This window comes from Homo sapiens, chromosome 14 (assembly GCF_000001405.40).
Source record: "Homo sapiens chromosome 14, GRCh38.p14 Primary Assembly".
Lineage (NCBI taxonomy): Eukaryota > Metazoa > Chordata > Mammalia > Primates > Hominidae > Homo > Homo sapiens.
In genome coordinates, this window is record NC_000014.9 from 103697464 (window position 1) to 103715454 (window position 17991).

The window sequence follows — 17991 nt, forward strand, 5'->3', positions numbered from 1 at the left end:
CAAGCTACTTAACGGTTCTGGGCCTGAATTTCCCTACCTGCAAGTGGAGATGTAACAGTACCTATCCCTAGGAGTTGTGAGGAGAACATACTTCAATGTGTATAAATTACTCAGAGCAGTGCCTGGCAGACAGCAAGAAGCAGGTCCTGGAACTGCATCCATTGAACATTTATTTGTCAAAGGCCTGGTCTGTGCCAGGCAGCATGTGGAGGCACTGAGTGGGGGGTGGAGGGGGTTGTACGGTGGGAATCAAGGGGGTCACCACTGTGCCCATGGGGAGGCCACGCCACTCTGCCTGCTGGGTGGATATTTCAGCCTGTGCAGCCAGATGTGTTCCCAGGAGGCTCTGCTTTCCAGCCAGATGTAAGGCCTGGCCACAGTGTGGGACTGGGTCTGCACAGTGTGGGACTGCAGGACAGGGTCCTGCAGGTGGCCCTGCCAGGAGTCCTGCCATATCCCTACCAGAATACCACCCAGCCAGGCCAGGGCTGAGCTGGACGCCCAGACCCCCAGGGCCAGGATACACCGGGACCCTCCTTCCTCTCAACCTCGGATCCTCTTTGCCCAGAACTGTGTTCCCAGGTGGCTGACGAGCCTGTCACGTGCCAGCCCTGCGCTGCCTGCGCTCCTCTGACCGGCTGTGGTGCTGGCACAGGCCACACTACTAGAGACAAGGCAGTCCCCCCACCCCCAGGCTCTCCTGGACCCTGACACTGGAGGTTGGTGGGATATGCTTTCTCCACCTTGTACCACACTGAAGTTTTGTGGGGCACAGTGTGTGCCGAGGTGGGGCCCCCGGGAGCCAAGGACCCAGAGGTGGGTGAGGAGGAGCCGCCTGCCTGCAGCCCCACTGTGGCCTGAGTGGTGGGGGAGTAAGGACTGCCCTGTGTGCAGGAGGGGAGACCCTCGTGGGCACGGTCCCAAGGCTGAGGGGGTCTGAGGCCCCAGCCCAGGGGGCAGGCCTCAGACGCAACCCCAGTTGGGCTTCCATGTGGAGAGAAGAAGCAGGCGGCTCCCAGGGAGTCACTGTAGGACACCCCAGGCTCCAGCCCTGAGAATCACCTCTCCCCAAGGGCCAGCTCAGCAGTGGGGACCAGGTACCCAGCAAGCGGGCCTGTCCCCAGACCCAGGGAGAGGCAGAACATCCCCCCAGCTCAGATGGGGGTCAGTCTGTGGCCACCATCTTCGGATGAGAAAGTGGAGCCGCTGCCCTGGAAGAGCTGTGTCTGAACCAGGCTCCCAGCTGTGCCACGGCCCAGGCAGACGCGTTTTAAAGGCCCGAGCCCCGTGTGTCGGGGCTTCTCAGGCAGGGCTGTTGTGCAGCCGCCACCGTGTCAGTGGGACTGGGTCCCAGGTGTCCCTCGCACCCCTTCGGCACTGATCGTGTAGGAACAGGAGGAGGGGGGCAGGTGGGGGGCAGAGAGCACCCGCAGGGTCCGGGCTGGGCAGCCGAGGGCAGCCTCTTCCTCGCGGAGCCGGTCAGCCAGCAGTCTCACCAGGAGCTGGTTAGCCCAGGTTATGCCAAGGGCTGGGGAAACACGTTCGTCCCAGAACCTGAGAAACAGGAAGCAGGCAAGCTGGCGCTCAGGCTTGGTGGCCCCGCCCACTTCGGCCCAGCTGTGCCCCTGGCACCTGCACAGAGGTGCACACACCACATGGCTGCACTCACCCCAGCGGCCCGTGTGCTGCGCCCTGCTCCTCCATGGCCTCTGTCACCTGGAAGAGCACAGTCCAGGTCAGCTGCAACGGCTGAGGGTCTTCTCGATGGTTAGGCACAGGCTGCTACCCGCAGGAGCCGGAGGCCACCTCACTGCCACCCGCCCCACCTCCAGACCGGCTCTGCTTCCGCATCCTGGCTAAAAATACGAGCTCAGGGGTGCAACCCTGCCTTGGTGCTCACCTGGTTGATGCACAGCACAGGGCTCTGGAAGGCACTGCTCAGCTCACGCAGCGTGGCCCCCAGGGACTGCAGATGCCTGGCCCTGGGGGCGGAGGCCTGGCTGTCAAATTCACAGCGGAATGGGGCTGCCACCGAGTCGATGACCACCAGGCGAGCCATGCCCCGAGACAGCAGTACGGGGACCTTCTTATTCACACACTCCAACAAGGTGTCCTGTGGGGACAGCTGTCATTGTCTATGCTGGTCAGCAAGTCCCCGCCCCAGGTGACCAGACCCCGTTTGGACTGTCACTCGACCGTCTGAAAACCTTCCTACCCACCTGGGGCTCACAGTGCCCATACTCTGTAGTCCCCATACTCTGAGCCCAATTCTGTATTTTTCTCAAAGAGGCCCCAACTATAGAAGCTTCAGGCTCACACAACTGGTTCCCTTGGCCCCATGTCCTTCCTCTGGCCCCCCCAGGCAGTCACCCCTTGGCTGTGCCAACACCGTCCTCTGTAGAGGTGTCCTTTGCGCAGGCTCCTGAGTCCTTGCGGGGGTCTGCTCTCCTTCTGCCATGGTTTCACCCTCTCCCCCTCACAGGTCAGCAGCAACCAGCCCCCTCCTTCAGTGGCCCCGCACCAGGTACTCAGACCACCCAAACCTGGCCACAGTGCCACCAAAGCCAGCCCGTGGTGGCCATGACCTCTTCAGACGCTCAGCAAGGCAGGGGCCTGATGCCCTTCAGGCGTTACTCAGGCGAGTCAGGCCTGGCCTGCCTCTGCCAAGGCGTGGGGCACTCTGGGAGACCACCTGGGGGTCAGGATGGGGCTGTAGGTTGAGACACCCTCAAGGCCAGTGCCTCCCGTGCATCCAGGCCTTAGCCCTGTGCTCTGAGCTGGCCTGGCCTGGCCAAGGGGTGGAAACAGCCCTGTGCCCACCAGCTCCCAGGAGAGCTTCCAGGGGAGGACCCCCCCAGTGAAGGCAGGTGTCCTCGGCCTCCCTCTGGGTGCTGCCGTGGCCTGTGGGTGCCAGAGCCATTGGCATGGCTGGCCTGGCCTCTGACCGCACAGCTTGGTGAGCCATGGTGATGGGGGAGGGTGACACAGCTGCTCCTGGCACCAAGCAGTGTAGTTCAGGCCCCACGGGCCTTGCCAGCAGCTCTGGCCAGATGGAGGCTGCTAAGGGGCCCCTAGGCTGTCCCTCAAGTCCAAGGTCTGCAGCCACACGCTGGTGTCACGCCCGGAGCTCTGAAGACGCCTGAGGGCCGCCTGCACGCCCTGAGTGAAACTCGTCTGTGCTTCATCTCCAGGGCGTCTCTGGCCGAGCCTCTTTTTGTGGAAAACGACAGCAGCAGCAGTGGCCTGGAAGACGCCACCGCTAACGTGAGTCCCACGGCCTGCAGCCCCAGGAAGCAGGCAGCTGGGCCAGGGAGGGACTTTGCACATGCAGGGACTGGGGGGAGCTGGGGATGGGCAAGTGGTGACTGCTGCTAGCTGCCAGGCTGGGCCTCCAAGAGGGGCTTGGCTCAGGGTCCCCATCCTCATGCAAGCCCAAGGGCCACAGAGTGGGGGGGTGGGAATGGCACCAGGCTCTGCTTATGCAAGAGAAGGCTCTGTGTCCACACCCCTGGCTTCCCCCGTGCCAGACGCAGGCCTTTGGTGCTCCAGGGAGCAGAGACCAAAGACGCACCAGTCCCCCATGACCCCTCGGCCCCAGGGAGGCTCACAACCAGCAACACCCTCTTCTCTAGGCAGACTTGGGGTGGGGGTTCCCCAGAGAGCTGTTTCCAGAACAGAACTTAGTAACACTGTCAGGTTTTGGCGGCCCAGCCCTGACCTTCTATCTTCTCTTGCAGTGACCCCGACCTGGCCCCGCTCCAGGATGGGACTGCCGAGTGTGGCCCGGAGCTGGCCCGGGACAGCCAGGGCGGCAGGGAGGGCCCCTGGCCGGGAGCCGCAGCGCTCACTCATTTCTCCTGCGTCTGTGTGCATAGGACATGATACTAATAACCACACGGCTGGCGTGACCTTGGGGCTGGGGCTGGGCCTAAGCTGGTGCCCTGGTGCGGCGTGGTCTCTCCCAGGAGACCTGGGGCATGAGCTGGGCCCACGGCTCCCTTCCCATGTGTAACTTCCTCACGTTGTGTGCGATAACGTATTTTATTGTACATTTTTTTAAATTAAAAGTTTATATGCCTTATGCTTTACTTGAAAGTTTTTATAAGACCTCTTAGAAGTGGGGGAAGGCTGGCGGGCGCGGTGGCTCACGCCTGTAATCCCAGCACTTTGGGAGGCCGAGGTGGGCGGATCACCAGGTCAGGAGATCGAGACCATCCTGGCTAACATGGTGAAACCCCGTCTCTATTAAAGATACAAAGAATTAGCTGGGCGTGTTGGTGGGCGCCTGTAGTCCCACCTACTCTGGAGGCTAAGGCAAGAGAATGGCGTGAACCCGGGAGGTGGAGCTTGCAGTGAGCTGAGATTGCACCACTGTACTCCAGCCTGGGCGACAGAGCGAGACTGTCTTAAAAAAAAAAAAGAGAAGTGGGGGAAGGCCCACCCAGGAGCTGCTCTGCCAGGCCACAGCCATGTCTAGGGTGGGCTGGACATGGCAGCCGCTCCCCCTGCACAGGGTGGAATTTCCTTACTTGCCTTTGGTCAGGGGTTTACTCCCAAACGTCCCATCTTTTCTTCTGCGTCTTTTCTACTTCATCACTTCTCCCTCCCAGGATGATGTCTATAAACTAAGCACTGACAGCTCACAGCACTGCTGCCCCAGCTGCAGGGATGGGTCCCAGCCTCTCTTGCCTGCTTCTTGGCTACAGGACGGACTCCACTGGCCCCCGGTGAGTGGCCCCTGCTCTCTGCAAGGCCCTGCCATAGGTCCCTCCTCCAAGCCCAGCCAGTGTCTGCAGGGAAGCCAGCAGCCAGGCAGTGGTCAAGGATCTGAGGTCACCTGTCTGAGCTGGGTGCCCAGCAGGCCTTGGCCAGGTGGAGCCCCTGTGCCCCTAGTGAGGGCCGTCTTCCCCTCAGGGGCAAGGGGAAACCAACACAGCTATCTCACCAGGGCAGCAGCCTGGAGAGCAGGTCGCATCCTTCTCAGGGCGGTGGTCTCCTGGGGCAGCTGGTCAGGGGCCCACAGCCCAGAGGAGGTCCTTGCCACCCGCCTGGGGCTTCTCTTCCCCACTCCGTCTTCATGGGCAAGGTTGACAGATGGTGTACAGGCGCCCAGTTACATCTGAGTTTCAGATCATGAAGAAAGTTGATCTGAATATGGGCATCCTCATTCTAGAACACGCTTCAAAGCTGCCTGAGATTCAGATGTAACTGGGTGTCGCAGCCTGCCGCCCTGCCTGCCTGGCCCACAGCCACTCCTGGCCAGGATTCTGTTTGGCCAAACTGCCGTCAGGCTCCTGAGCCTCCTCCTAGGCCCATCTGTGCACGTCCTCATGAAATCCAGTTTTGGCAATCCCTGCTGAGATTGTAGCAGGACCCCTGCTCTCCGTATCCAGTCGCCCTCAGTAGCTGACTGGTCCATCCTCCACAGTCCCCAGAGGCCGTCTGATCCCCAAGGCACACCTTCAGCAAGGGTCCTGGCAGGATGCTTTAGCCAGAATTCCCTCCCCTGCCAGTTCCTCTCAGTCACTCTCCATCCTCTGACCCCACCTGCTCCTCGGGCGTAAACCCCCATGACCCATGCTGTGTTCAGAGCTGAGCCCCAACTCTCCCTGCCCTGCTGTGAGACCCCATTGCCGTGGTGGCTACACCTGCCCCAATGGTCCTGAATAGCTTGCCTTGGGGGTGTCATGGGGCTTCTCCCACACTCACCACATCGGCCACGTGCTCGATGAAGATCTGGCTGCCAAATCGGAGCTTCTGAAGCAGCTCTCCTGGAACGTCAGTGCGCAGCCGCGGCTGCTGGGCCATGAGCTGCTGCAGGCGCTTGTGCGGGAAGGCGTCTTCCGTGCAGATGTAGACGGCTCCTGGGAAGCAAGAGTGCCTGATGTGCCCAGGGGACTCCAGACGGGCCTGTGACTGCCACACAAATCAAGTGCAGATGTCTCCCGCCATTTCTAACTCTCTGCCCCTCACAGGTTCTTTGCCCCTCGCCTGGGGAGGGAGGAGGCTGGTGCTTTTTCTCACCCTCCCACTGGCAGCCACCTCCGGGGCCAGGTGACCCCTCAGGAGGAATATGGGCTGGGTCTCCACTTCTGACACCCAGGCAAGGACTTCCCCTGTCCTGGGCCCTGGGCTGGAATGGCCACAGATGGGAGGCCTCTCCTGCTCCACCCTGCCCCTCCTTCCCCCTGTGAACCTCCGTTCCCCACTGCAGGGCAGGGAGCAAGTGGCAGCATCAGGGCAACGCCTTCTGGAAATGGCCCCTGAGCCCCGACACATGGCCACCCTCAAGGCCCCCACTGAGCAAGCGTTTCCTCTCTTCAAAGCTCCTGCAATCTGGGCTCCATGGTGAAATTCAAAAAGCCAGCTTGAAAAGACACGTGTTGGTGAGGATGTGTAGGAGGCAGACCCCTGACCCCTGTGCACTGCCGCTAGGAATGTAAAATGGTGCAGCTCGGAAAACAATCGGTACTTCCTTAAAAAGTTAAACAAATCACATGACTCAGCAGCCCCACTCCTAGGTAGATACCCAAGAGAAAGAACGTCCACCGTAGCACGTTTCATGACAGCCCGGGGGGAGACGGCCCAAAGGCCATCAACTGAGGAGTGGACGAATGAAGTGCGGCCCATCCTTACAGTGGGATGATCGAATCTTAAAAGGGAAGGCAGTTCTGACACCTGCTCCAGCACGGATGAACCTCGAAAACACAATGCCAATGCAGGAAGCCTGTCACGAGACCACGTGCTGTCCGGCTGCACTTGCATGGAGCTCCCAGGACAGGAAGAGTCACAGGTAGGGAAAGGGGAGGCAGGCTGCTGGGGGTGGGGGCTGACTGCTCATGGGTAGGGTTTCCTTTTGGGGTGAGGGAACTGTTCTGGAATTGGATAGTGGTGACGGGCACAGAACTTTGTGCTTCTATTAAAAGCCACTGAATTTATTTATTTTATTTTAATTTTTGAGAGACAAGAGACTCACTCTGTCGCCCAGGCTGGAGTGCAGTGGTGCGATCTCGGCTCACTGCAACCTCTGCCTCCCGGGTTCAAGTGATTCTCCTGCCTCAGCCTTCTGAGTAGCTGGGATTACAAGGCGTGCGCTACCACGCCCAGCTAATTTTTGTATTTTTAGTAGAGACTGGGTTTCACCATGTTGGTCAGGCTGCTCTCGAACTCCTGACTTCATGATCCGCCTGCCTCAGCCTCGGCCTCCCAAAGTGCTGGGATTACAGGCATGAGGTACTGCGCCTATCAGGCCGAACTGTACACTTTTAGAGGGAATTTTATGGCATGTAAATTACATCTCAATTTAAAAAACAGGAAGGCTTAGGGGGACTGATTTGAGTAATAATAAAACTCCAGTTTCCTGCAAAACAAAAACAAAAAGACAAGGCCGGCGAGCTCTCTAAGCACTGACTATGCCAGGAAGGCTGCCCAGCCAGGACCCCGTGGCCCACGGGGCGTCGTCCTGTTCCTGCAGTGGCACATGCAGTTGTGGGAGAGCCAGTGCCCCCACGCCGTGTCATGCAGCCTGTTTGTGAGTGTCCGCGTAACCTTTAATTCTGAGCTGATTTTGCTTTGACAGAATTTCAAACGTAAAGAAGAGTTGCAAAAATGGGTCAGGAACCCCCCGCCCCATTCTGTGTCAGAACTAAGCTTCTGAGAAGCATCTGGCCCGCTTGAGGCCAGGAACGTATAAATACTGCCTTGGGAGGCCACATCCCTTTTGTGGCTGGTTCCCTTCCCCACCAGTGTCCCCAGCAGTGACTGTGCCCCTAGTCAGGAGCCACAGGAAGGTCGGGGCCCTGGGCTTCCTCCGTCCTGTTGGCTGGAGAGAGGCTGGGCTGGAAGGCTCGGAAGCAGGTGGAACCGGTCAAGCAGCGTGTTTTTGTTGGGGTGACGTTATGTAGGGGCTGCACAGTCATGGGGACATCGTGAAGCTGGCAGGAGGGTGGCTGTGGACAGCCCAGCGGTGGGCGGGGCCCCAGCAGGCCTGGGAGAGCCTCACGCGGCTTAAGCACGGGAGTCGGAATCACTTCAGAGCCCGCCTGCCGCTTTCTTTTCAAAATTCGGGCCTTTAGATTGGATCCAGGAAAGGAAGTCATTTCCCCAGGAAAGCACATCTGACCCCTAACCTTGCATGTGGTCACGGTGGCCGTGGGGCCCCCTCCCTTCCCCTGGCCCGCAAGGCTGGACTGTGCTGTCATCCCGCAGCAGTCACTGGGCTGGGCACAGCTGGGGGATTCAGGGAGGGTGTCCTAAGGCTTCTGTGTCCCTGGGTATCGGGGAGTGTGGGCTTCACTGAAAAGGCCAACGGGGTGGAAGCTGAGGGGGAGTCATTGCACAAATCAGATTTGCACGAAGCCTGGCACGGAGGACGCTGGAGAATGAGGGCGGCTCCCGTCCCGTTCCTGAGCACGCTCGAGTCCCGCCTCCACCTCACAGCAGCTCTTCCGTGCGGTAAGCGGGAGACTCCCATTTTCAAGGCCAACTCCTGTCCTCCCGGCTTCTGGCTGTCTCCAGGCTCATCCCCAAGACCAGCCGCAGGGACTCAGGCACCTGACAAGAGGGTGCCCTCCCCTGGGCTGCAGGGACAAAAATGCCTGTGGCGTGAGCAGACCCCAGCTGGGCTCTCAGGAGACCCCTCACCCTCCACCCGACACGGAGGCTCAGGAGACCCCTCACCCTCCACCCAGCACTGAAGCTCAGGCAGGCACAGCACACCCTGGGTCCTGGGGATGACGCTGACCTGAGGGTGGCAGAGGTGAGGTTCCCAGCCACACCGCTGCTGGCAGGTCAGGCCCGTGAGGAGGTGGCTGGCTGGGCCTGTGGGTCCAGGGCCTGGGGTCCGGCCCTGTGTGGGAAGTGAGCCTAGCAGATGTGCTCGGAGGTGCCACCGATGAAAAAATACTGCCACTCTGTTCACGTGGAGTTTAAGACAACGTGGGAATCGCATGTTGACACCAGGGAATTAGTTTAAAAGTTAAGGAGCTACTGAGAAACATCTCTCCTCCTCACAGCTCACAGTTTAAAACTACGTGAACTTTTAACACCTGAGAGACCCAGGCAGGCATGCTCTGAACGCTTTAGTCCAATGCAGGGAACCCTCGTTTCACAGACAGAGCGTACAGGCTCACGGGGCCGCGCCAGGAGCATACCTGGCCTGGCGGCGGGGCACCCGGGGAAAGGCTGTGCTGCCCTCCCTGCGTTGCTGGCTCTGTGGACTCTGGGCTTGGCAGCTGTGCGGAACGTGGGCCGGCATCGCTGTGCTCAGCCAGCGACCCCTGGGGGCCTAGCTCTGCTGAGGGCCGGCTGCCTGGTGGTGGGGTTCGTACCCTCCCACCCCTCCTGCTGTCAGCTGAGCCCAGCCTCACTTCCCCCTCCCTGTTCTGGAAGGAGCGAGGGCAATCAGGGTGAGAAGGAGGGAGACGCAATGGTAGGAACAGCGCAAGAGGCGGCCACTGCCCCACCTCAACGGAAAGCTGTCCCACACAAAGCAGGGGCCGCCCACCTGCCCAGACCCCACGGAAGGGGTGGCCACTCACCAGCCTCCAGGCCTCCGTGCTGCCGCGGGAACTGCACAGCCAGGCAGAGCTGCAGCGCCAGCTGGGTCTTCCCTGCCGAGCTGCGTCCGGCCAGCTCAGTGATGCCGTCCAGGGGCAGGCCACCGCGGAGCAGCGCGTCCAGCACCGGGCAGCCCAGGCTCAGGCGCTGGTGCTGCGTGGGGAACCGCTCCTTCTGCTGGTGCAGCTGCAGTGCTAAAGGGCAGGGATAGTGTCAGGCCTGACTCTCCTGGGCCTGCGGGCAGGGCTGGGGACTGCGGGAGGCATGGTCAGCCTGCCTGTGCCAGGTGCAGTGTGGCTGGAGCACAGGTGCCTGCGGTCATGGGGGTGAGCAAGGTGCTGAGGGCAGGGAGGGGGGCCCAGCCGGGAAGGGCGGGTGCACCTGAGATGCAGAGTCAGGGGGAGCCCCAGGGCCACCATCACATGCCCGCAGGGATCCCCCTATGGGGCAATTGCAGCACCAGACGCCTTCAGCCAAAGCTTCCAGAGAGCCCCGAGGCGCTCCCTAACAGCCTCCATGTGAAGAAAAAGGCACAGCTCTGTCCAGCTGGGATGCCCTGGGGTGCTGAACAGTTCTCAAGCGGCTTTAATGGGCTCCCGCAGGCGCGCACACATGCACACCACATGCCGTCAGTTCTCTGTGACAGATACCATTCTGGAGCAATGCTGGTCTCAGCCTCTTGGCTAAAGGGCCTTGGATGAGCCATTTGACACAGCCTCCTCCACGACACCGAAGCCCCTCAGGGCAAGGCTCAAGGTGGGACATGCGGTGCAGGCTGCGCTCTTGGCCTGGGGCCTGGGCCGGGAGGAGCAGCCCCTCCCTTGGAGTCTGCACACTGCCTTGGGCACCCCGTCCAGGTGGAGCAGGCCACCCTGACTGTGAGGCCTGCCCAGAGCCCTGCCCACAGCACCGTGTGTGTGGCCGTGGCACCTGCCCACCACGGCAGCCCCAAGTTCAGCACGTTCCTCGGGGCCTGGGCCACTGAGCCACCTGCAGGGGAGAGAGGGCCCTGCTCATGCCAGGACCCCGCTGCCTACTAGGGCCTGCTGAGATGCAGGGATGGAAACCTTGTCCGTCCAGGCGCATGGGGTTCCCTGGGTACCTCCTTCCCCTGCTGAGACCTGGTTTCCCACACGTGGTGGTGGGACCGTGGCCAGGGCCCCATCTCACACCGTTCCCACCCTGCCAGAGCCTGAAGGGCTCTGGGTGCTGACTGCCAAATCCACCCCTGCTTCCTGCACCCCCTCCTCTGGTCCATGGAGCAAGGTCCCCAGGAGGTCCCACAGCCCGTGTCCACCTCACGCATCTTCTGACCCGATGCTGTGACCACAGCCCCATGGGTGTAGGACAAGCAAGATGGGAACTCTGGGGCTGGAGCAGCTGCCACACGCCCTGAGGCTGGTCCCTGGGTGAAGTCTGCACAGCCCCTGCCCTGCACCACTGGGACCATGATGCTGGAGCCACATGTCACCCCTGGCAGAGATGCCAGGGCCCACCTACCTGTAAGGATGCTGCTTCCCCGCAAGTGTAAGGAGGCCGTTCTCAGCAAGTGCCAGACCTCGGGGCTGGAGAGGTTGGTCAGTCTCTTCAAGTCTGGTCCAGAAAAGTGTAAAACCTCCTTTACCGATTTCAGTTTGGCTGAAATAACACAGATAAATTACAGGAAAATGTCAGACTGTCACAACGCAGGGCAACACAGTGACAAAAGGTGCTTTGTTAAGAGCACTGTGAGAGCACCGTGCTTCCGATTCTGGGGACAAGGTGGGTAGGGACCGGATCCCCTGCTCCCTGGAAACCCTGGACACAGTGTGGCCGATGCACAGGCACGAGGAAAGGGCTGCTGGACACTGCGCCCTGAGTCCTGGCACTCGGACAGATACCAGCCTCGTGAGCTGGGGCAGAAGCCAGAAGACAGGGCTGGGCAGGTCCCGGTGCTGAGAGCAGGTTCCGGTACTGAGAAGAAACGACAGGCACCCAGTTCCATGCCAGCTGGAGACAGTGCTCCAGAAGGGGGCAGGAAAAAACCAGCACCGAGCTTTCCACCACCCGCCCACCAGGCATGGATCTGGGCTGAGCCGCGGGAGAGGACATGTGCCCTGGGGAGGGGAGCGCTGGGAGGGTAGCAGAGCCCAGGTCCAAACGCCAGCTGCGCAGGGCAGTCAGGGCAGGGGGCAGAGCATGTGCGAATCAGAACGGCGGTGGCAGCAGTTACAGGGGTGCAGATCCCCAGGACCTGCCATCTGGGGAGGAGGGCAAGGAAGTTAATTTTGGACTCAGATAAGTGCATCACTTTCTAATTTCAAACTTGTAGAAAGACGACAAATGCTGCAGACTGATCAGCCGATCAGGGAAGTGCGAGGAAGCGCACACGAGAGGGAGCAGTGGTGGACGAAGCGCCCCACCCGGCCACGGGGACTTACACCCACCACATCAGAAACCCCCTCAACACGGGTGCGCTGAACGCTGCAGTGAAAAGACAACCATTGTGCGGCTGGAAAACAGTAAGCACTGGTGTGATCTTCAGAAAAGCCACACAGAAAACACAAGGAGATGGAAGGGTGGGAATGAAGAAAGCGCCCCTGGGTTTCACCAGATCCAGCGGAGGGGGCTTCCCGCAGACAGGCTGCTCCAGAAGGCTCTGTGGGCCCTGAGGACTCACCGGGATCGGGGCTGTGGCAGGGCGCTCCCCCTGGTAAGCCTCACAGCCCCAGCCCCCTTCACAGCCGTGAAGTCTGCAGGGACTTCTGGAAACATTGGTTTTTGGATAAGAGACACAGGTGAGAAAGGAACTCCCTGGCTGAGCCCTTCTCTGTCCCTGGTCTGCAAGCGTCGTGTCTGCAGCTGTGGCAGCAGCTGTGATCACAAGGCCACCAACAGGAGGATAAAAACCAACAGCCAAGGATGGAGGGTCAGGACAGCGAGGCCCTGCCCTGTCACCAGGCTGCTGCGGCAGCTCCATGAGCACTCCGGCTTCTCGCCACAGACAGCGTGCTGAGGTTCACGTAGCTGAGGCCCGGGGAGACGGGGGAGGATGGAAGCTGGCAGGAGGGTCCCCGGATGACAGCCAGGCGGCTGGCATGGGGAGCAGGGGGCAGGGGCTGCACGTGGGGCCTGAGTTTTGAGCATTTACTAACTCGGGCGAAAAAAGATGCTGTAAGAAAGAAAACCATCCCCTGCACCACCACACCAGGTTCAACAATGGCCAGTATGCACCCAGTCACAACCCTGACAGCTGATGTCACCCAAACTAGGTTCTAAGTATGGGCAGGGAGCTGGGGGGAGAGGAAGTTGGGGTACACAGGTGTAGGCACGCTCAGTCCTCACAGCCCCCAAGAGAAGTCCATGGATAATCAGTAACACTGACAAATCAAACATTACAACATAAACACGTTTAGGAGCCCAGATGTAAATATTTTTTAAAAAAATAACTAAAAGACGGCCGGGTGCGGTGGCTCATGCCTGTAATCCCAGCACTTTGGGAGGCTGAGGCGGGCGGATCACGAGGTCAGGAGATCAAGACCATCCTGGCTAAAACAGTGAAACCCTGTCTCTACTAAATTTACAAAAAAATTAGCCGGGCGTGGTGACTGGCGCCTGTAGTCCCAGCTACTCGGGAGGCTGAGGCAGGAGAATGGTGTGAACCCCGGGAGGCGGAGCTTGCACTGAGCTGAGATCGCACCACTGCACTCAAGCCTGGGTGACAGAGCGAGACCCCGTCTCCAAAAAAAAAAAACTAAAAGACTTTATGTGGCTCCATTTTACCTTTTAGACAATATGCATGTATTACTTTGATAAAAATAAAAGTAACTGAAAGAAATCCATGTAGTTAAGAACACACACACACACACACACACACACACACCTGAAAATCCCATAGTACATCCCGCCCTCGGTTTAATAATCAGGGTAGGCAAAGGAAGGAAGGCTTAGCCAGCCAGCGTTTTGTTAACCTGCCTTATATAAACTGCACACACCCACCCACACCCTTTATGTAAATAGAAATAAATGTACCTTTCTTAATTGCAGCAATAATTCTGGGATTCAGGTCCAGTAGATCCAAATCCATTTTGTCGGTGGGCTGGCCACCAGGATGAATAACTTCCCAGGAAAGACAGAACAATGGATGCAAATTCTGAGGCACTCGCCTTCAATTCAAAGCCTGTGGGAGGCCCGAACCAGGGAAGTGACAGCAGCCGAGGTGTCCGTGTCATCGGGGCTCTGTCACTGAGGGTGGAGGAGACTTCACTGTAGAGGGAAGGCTGTCTAGCTACATCTAGGGCAACATGTCTGTCATTTACCTCTAAGAATTATTTAGCAGCTTAGAACCCATTCCAGACACTGATGCATTTGAAAAACCCCCCAAACCCACCACATTTACCTCCTGTGGAAAGTGCTAGAAATAAGACCATCCTCCTGCAGCAGTTGAGTGCCCTGCCCGACTCACCTCTCTGGGGCTTGGGGATGACCCGCGTGTTTTTGGCTGACTTGACTGAGGCATCTCTTGCACTCTGCAGTTTAATTTCCCTTAAGTGTCTCCCTGGGGACTCTGGAAAGAGTGGGAAGGTGAGTCTGGGATTGGCAGGGTGCTCAGGGATCCAAACATCAGTCGCCCCCAGCAGCCAACAGCAGAAGACAGCTTCCTGTGGGACGGGAGGAAGGTGCTGTGGACCCCACCCAGCCTCTCCCAGGAAGGGAGCTGGCAGCCATTCCACAGCCCGAGCCTGGCCCAGCAAGGGAGAAGCTCAGCTCTTCTCCCCTCCGGCCTCAGCAGGCTGCTCAGGGACTCAGCCTGGGGTCACATAAGGCCTTTCCAACAGGCCACTCTGCATCCCCTGTCGGCCTCCCAAATGGTGAGACCAAGAGTGTCCAGGACATGGGGAAACTGGAAGGCAGCAGCCTCGAGGGCCGGGTCCAGGATCCATGTCCTCCAGTGAGGCCTGGCGCCCTTGGCCGTAACCCAGCAGAGGAAAGGGCGGGCCGTGGACTTGGAGAAGGTTTTCCCTTGGACCACACAGAATGCGGCACTGGCCTGGACACGATCACGCTGGTCACTCGTATGCCCATGTTCAGCCTGCTCAGGGAGACAGGAACAGACTACAGGAGCAGCAGGCTGAGGCACGCCCCCAGGCACCCCGTGAGGCGGGCAGGGCAGGGAAGCTGGTGCTCCAGGATGCGTTTCCTGCCCGCGCACCAGGCTTGGCTCCCGGGCCCCCACAGCCTGTGGGTTTTCTGAGCAAGGGACAGGGAGGTGCCCAGGCCTGGTTGCCCAGGCAGGCCTGACAGGAACTGGCGAGAAGCCACCCTGGAGGGCCGGGCGCAGGCCAAGGCAGGGCGGTGGGGCGCTGAACCAGCTCCAAACTGCTGGCAGAGCTGGCCAGAGTGAGGAAGTGAGGTTCCCAAGCACAGAAGGCAAATCAAAAAGGAATGCCACCTCCAGGGAAGACACTACACTGCCAAAGGAGATGCGGCCTTGCCCGGCTCGAAAAGAGGTCATTTTCAGAACATGGGACTCTCCAAGCCCTGAGGACAGGAGGCAGCCTGGGGAGTATGAACCTCGCACCTGGTAGGGGACCCCACACCCGAGGTACCACCCAAAACACAGCCCAGATCTGCACGGAGGGATGGTTCCCTGAGCAGGCGTGACTGTCACAGACAGGCTGGGCCTGGGGGCTGTCGGGAGGCTGCTGTCCCAGGCTGGGTCTGGATACAAAACTTGGACTGTGTCAAGCAGCGGGACGCTGGCAGGAGCACCGGGAAGGCCAGCACGTGGCTGCAACGTCTCCCGCCTTCAGGACGCGGGCCGAGGCCAAGGCACCTGGAAGCAGAGTGTCCACTGACGGATAACAGACTCACCGGTTGGCCAACGGCAGTCCGGCTCCTGAGGCTCCTCCTGGGCCCTCTGTGCACATCCTGCTGAGAACTTGGTTTAACAGGCCTGGCTCAAAGTCTGTTTAGTGACGACCTCCTCCCGTGTCCCATCACCCTTGACAGCTGATTAGGCGCCTCATCTTCCACTGTCCCCCGGGCGGCCTGATCTGGCAGGTCAGTTGAACCTGCATCCCCTTCGCCCCTGGGGGTTCCTCTTAGCAACCTTCCATCCTCTGCCCCTGCCCAGCTCTGGAGCTGTAAGCCGCCACCAGCCCATGGCCTGTTCAGAGCTGAGCCCAGCCTCTCTCCCACTGCAAGACCGCAGTGTGGTGGTTCCCACATCTCTCAAAGGTTCTGAATGAAAGCCTGGTCTCTGCCTAACGTGCTTTCACAGATATCCTGGAATATTTTCCCTTTAACACCAAGCACCTGCCGCATCCCAGACACTGGCCTGGGAGCTCCACAGACAGCCCGGCACATGCCTCTGTCCTCTCGCCGCTGTGAGGGGCAGGGGTGTGACCAGCCCATCTCTCTACACCGGGGTGAAGGCCACACACAGGGAGCAGCCCACAGCAGGCAAGGGGCTGGCCCAAGACAGACCTGTATGTCTTCCTGCAGCACCCGAGCTGAGCAATGACTTCAGGGGGAGAGCTGATGTCACGTGCTGCTAGGTGAGTACGGACGGTCACACCAGAGCTGTTAGGCTCACACACCAGACTCTGGAAATGCCGTGGTTACTGCCTGGAGCTGCTCTGAGCCTTCCGAGGTGGACTCACTCCTCTGCCTTGGGCCCTGGGACCTGCTGTGTAGCTTTGAAGTGATTCACAGCACTTACATAGTCTGATGTTTTGGGGTGACCTGACCCCCCTGCAAGAGTGTGATGTCTTATCAGACCACATATGTGAGGACTTGAGTGAACTCCGCAACCTTGGGAATGCCACTTAAACCTTGTCAGACACTCCCTTATGTGAGTTACTGACCCTGACTGCTGGACTGCAAAAACAGACATCAGCTTGAAGGTTGTGCAGATGCTTTGAGGCAAGCTATACGCTGCTGGCCTGGGAGCTGGACCTCGGTCCCAGCTTCTCAGAGAGCTCCCGCTCTCACGCTCTCCACTGCTACCAAGGCAAACCTCGAACTCTCACCAGATCTCACTCTCCAGGGGCCCGCTCCATCCCAGCAGAGCAACCGGACCCTGGCCGTTCTGCCACTCACCTCCCTGCCGTGAATGCACCCCATCCATGGAGGCCCTGCTTCCCTGCCAGGTGTCTTCACCTCCTCCCCTCTCCTCCCCTCTGAGCACTGTGAACCCGAGAACAAATCTTCTTTGACAATAAACCGTGTGATTCGTGGAATCATACTTTGATCATCTCCTTATTTCCTCCACACACAAGGACCCCTGCACTGCCAATGGCCCCAGGAGAGGGCAGAGTCAGCCACAGGGACCCCACCTCACAGGCTTCAACACTGCTGATGCCTGTCATCCCAGCACCGTGGGAGGCCAAGGCGGCCAAGGTCGCCTGAGCCCAGGAGTTCAAGACCAGCCTGGGCAACACAGCAAGACCTACTCTCTACCGAAAAAAAAAAAAAAAAAGAAAAATAGCTGGCCAGTGTAGTGGCGCTTGCGGTCCCAGCTACTTGAGAGCCTGGGAGGTCGAGGTTGTGCCTAGCTGTGAAGACGCCACTGCACTCCACCCCGGATGACAGAGCCAGACTGTCTCAAAAAAAACAATAAAAATTCACGCCTTGTAATAAGGAATTAAAGGCAGGATGAACAAACATTTTCTTCTTTTTTTTGTGTGCTTTCTGAGATGGAGTCTTTTTCTGTAGCCCAGGCTGGAGTGCAGTAATGTGATCTCGGCTCACTGCAACCTCCGCCTCCCGGGTCCTGGTTCAAACAATTCTCCTGCCTCAGCCTCCCAAGCAGCTGGGATTACAGGCACGTGCCACCACACCCAGCTAATTTTTGTATTTTTAGTAGAGACGGGGTTTCACCATGTTGGCCAGGCTGGTCTTGAACTCCTGACCTCGTGATCCGCCCGCCTCGGCCTCCCAAAGTGCTCGGATTACAGGCGTGAGCCACCGCGCCCGGCCTAAAGGATTTTCTTTCCAAATCAAAGTATTAAAATAACTGTTCAGACCTCTCCCACTTCGATGCGAAGCCAGCGCGGTCCCAGGCGGACGAGCGAAGGCATCGAAGGCCGGGGGCGCAGCCGCGGGCCCACCTCGGCCTCCCCTGAGCGGACGCCTCCCCGCGCGCACCGGGGGCCCCGGAGACCGCCTTCCCCGCTCCGAACGCACGCGGCCCGGCCCCGGCGAGGTGCCTGAACGCTACCCGAGCTGCGGCGGGGCTCCCGGGGTGAGTGCTGCAGCCCCAGGCCCGCCTGCTCCCACAGGCTCGGGCAATGGAGACCCGCGGCCGCCCCCGCCCCTTGACCCTGCCTCACCCCTCACGCCCGCTGCCGCCCACGACCTCCGACCCCGCTGCCGCCCGGCTCGCAGCCCGGCTCGCAGCCCGGCTCGGCGGGCCTCACCTCCCGCGGGTTCCGCACTCCTCTTCCCGCC

General features: G+C 59.7%; 2 protein-coding genes across 25 annotated transcripts in view, besides 5 other annotated features; one reads left to right on the forward strand and one right to left on the reverse strand.

The window, feature by feature from the left end:
- Nucleotides 1-4081, forward strand: part of KLC1 (kinesin light chain 1) — a 72334-nt gene extending 68253 nt beyond the window's left edge. For all 15 annotated transcript variants that reach the window (NM_001394832.1, NM_001394836.1, NM_001394846.1 and 12 more), the window contains 2 exons: nt 3192-3264; nt 3738-4081. In NM_001394832.1, the coding sequence (NP_001381761.1) occupies nt 3192-3263 (72 nt within the window). In that variant the 3' untranslated portion in view covers nt 3264; nt 3738-4081. The remainder of the gene's footprint in view (nt 1-3191; nt 3265-3737) is intronic.
- On the reverse strand, nt 154-17988 carry XRCC3 (X-ray repair cross complementing 3). Of its 10 annotated transcripts, none has more exons than NM_005432.4 (10): nt 17961-17988; nt 15412-15468; nt 14003-14104; nt 13570-13782; nt 11059-11196; nt 9540-9752; nt 5710-5864; nt 1901-2113; nt 1670-1716; nt 154-1554 (listed from the first exon to the last, which is right to left on the reverse strand). In NM_005432.4, exons 4-10 carry the CDS (start codon nt 13622-13624, stop codon nt 1335-1337), a joined length of 1041 nt encoding a protein of 346 aa, NP_005423.1. In that variant the 5' UTR covers nt 13625-13782; nt 14003-14104; nt 15412-15468; nt 17961-17988; the 3' UTR covers nt 154-1334. The 10 variants fall into 10 exon arrangements, with proteins under 10 accessions (NP_005423.1, NP_001358160.1, NP_001358158.1 ...); NM_001371231.1 differs by having other exon boundaries at nt 14003-14198; NM_001371229.1 differs by having other exon boundaries at nt 15412-15478.
- Nucleotides 4380-4429: an enhancer, noted in NCBI's record as "active region_9110". NCBI's record gives its function as "activates an Ori minimal core promoter by ATAC-STARR-seq in GM12878 lymphoblastoid cells {active_cell/tissue: GM12878}" and the evidence as "EXISTENCE:reporter gene assay evidence [ECO:0000049][PMID:35858748]".
- Nucleotides 8451-9010: an enhancer, noted in NCBI's record as "H3K27ac-H3K4me1 hESC enhancer chr14:104172251-104172810 (GRCh37/hg19 assembly coordinates)". NCBI's record gives its function as "activates a minimal SCP1, AML or CMV promoter by ChIP-STARR-seq in primed H9 embryonic stem cells {active_cell/tissue: H9 hESC(primed)}" and the evidence as "EXISTENCE:reporter gene assay evidence [ECO:0000049][PMID:30033119]".
- Nucleotides 9011-9572: an enhancer, noted in NCBI's record as "H3K27ac-H3K4me1 hESC enhancer chr14:104172811-104173372 (GRCh37/hg19 assembly coordinates)". NCBI's record gives its function as "activates a minimal SCP1, AML or CMV promoter by ChIP-STARR-seq in primed H9 embryonic stem cells {active_cell/tissue: H9 hESC(primed)}" and the evidence as "EXISTENCE:reporter gene assay evidence [ECO:0000049][PMID:30033119]".
- Nucleotides 16789-17474: an enhancer, noted in NCBI's record as "H3K27ac-H3K4me1 hESC enhancer chr14:104180589-104181274 (GRCh37/hg19 assembly coordinates)". NCBI's record gives its function as "activates a minimal SCP1, AML or CMV promoter by ChIP-STARR-seq in naive H9 embryonic stem cells {active_cell/tissue: H9 hESC(naive)}" and the evidence as "EXISTENCE:reporter gene assay evidence [ECO:0000049][PMID:30033119]".
- Nucleotides 17671-17930: a silencer, noted in NCBI's record as "silent region_6170". NCBI's record gives its function as "represses an Ori minimal core promoter by ATAC-STARR-seq in GM12878 lymphoblastoid cells {active_cell/tissue: GM12878}" and the evidence as "EXISTENCE:reporter gene assay evidence [ECO:0000049][PMID:35858748]".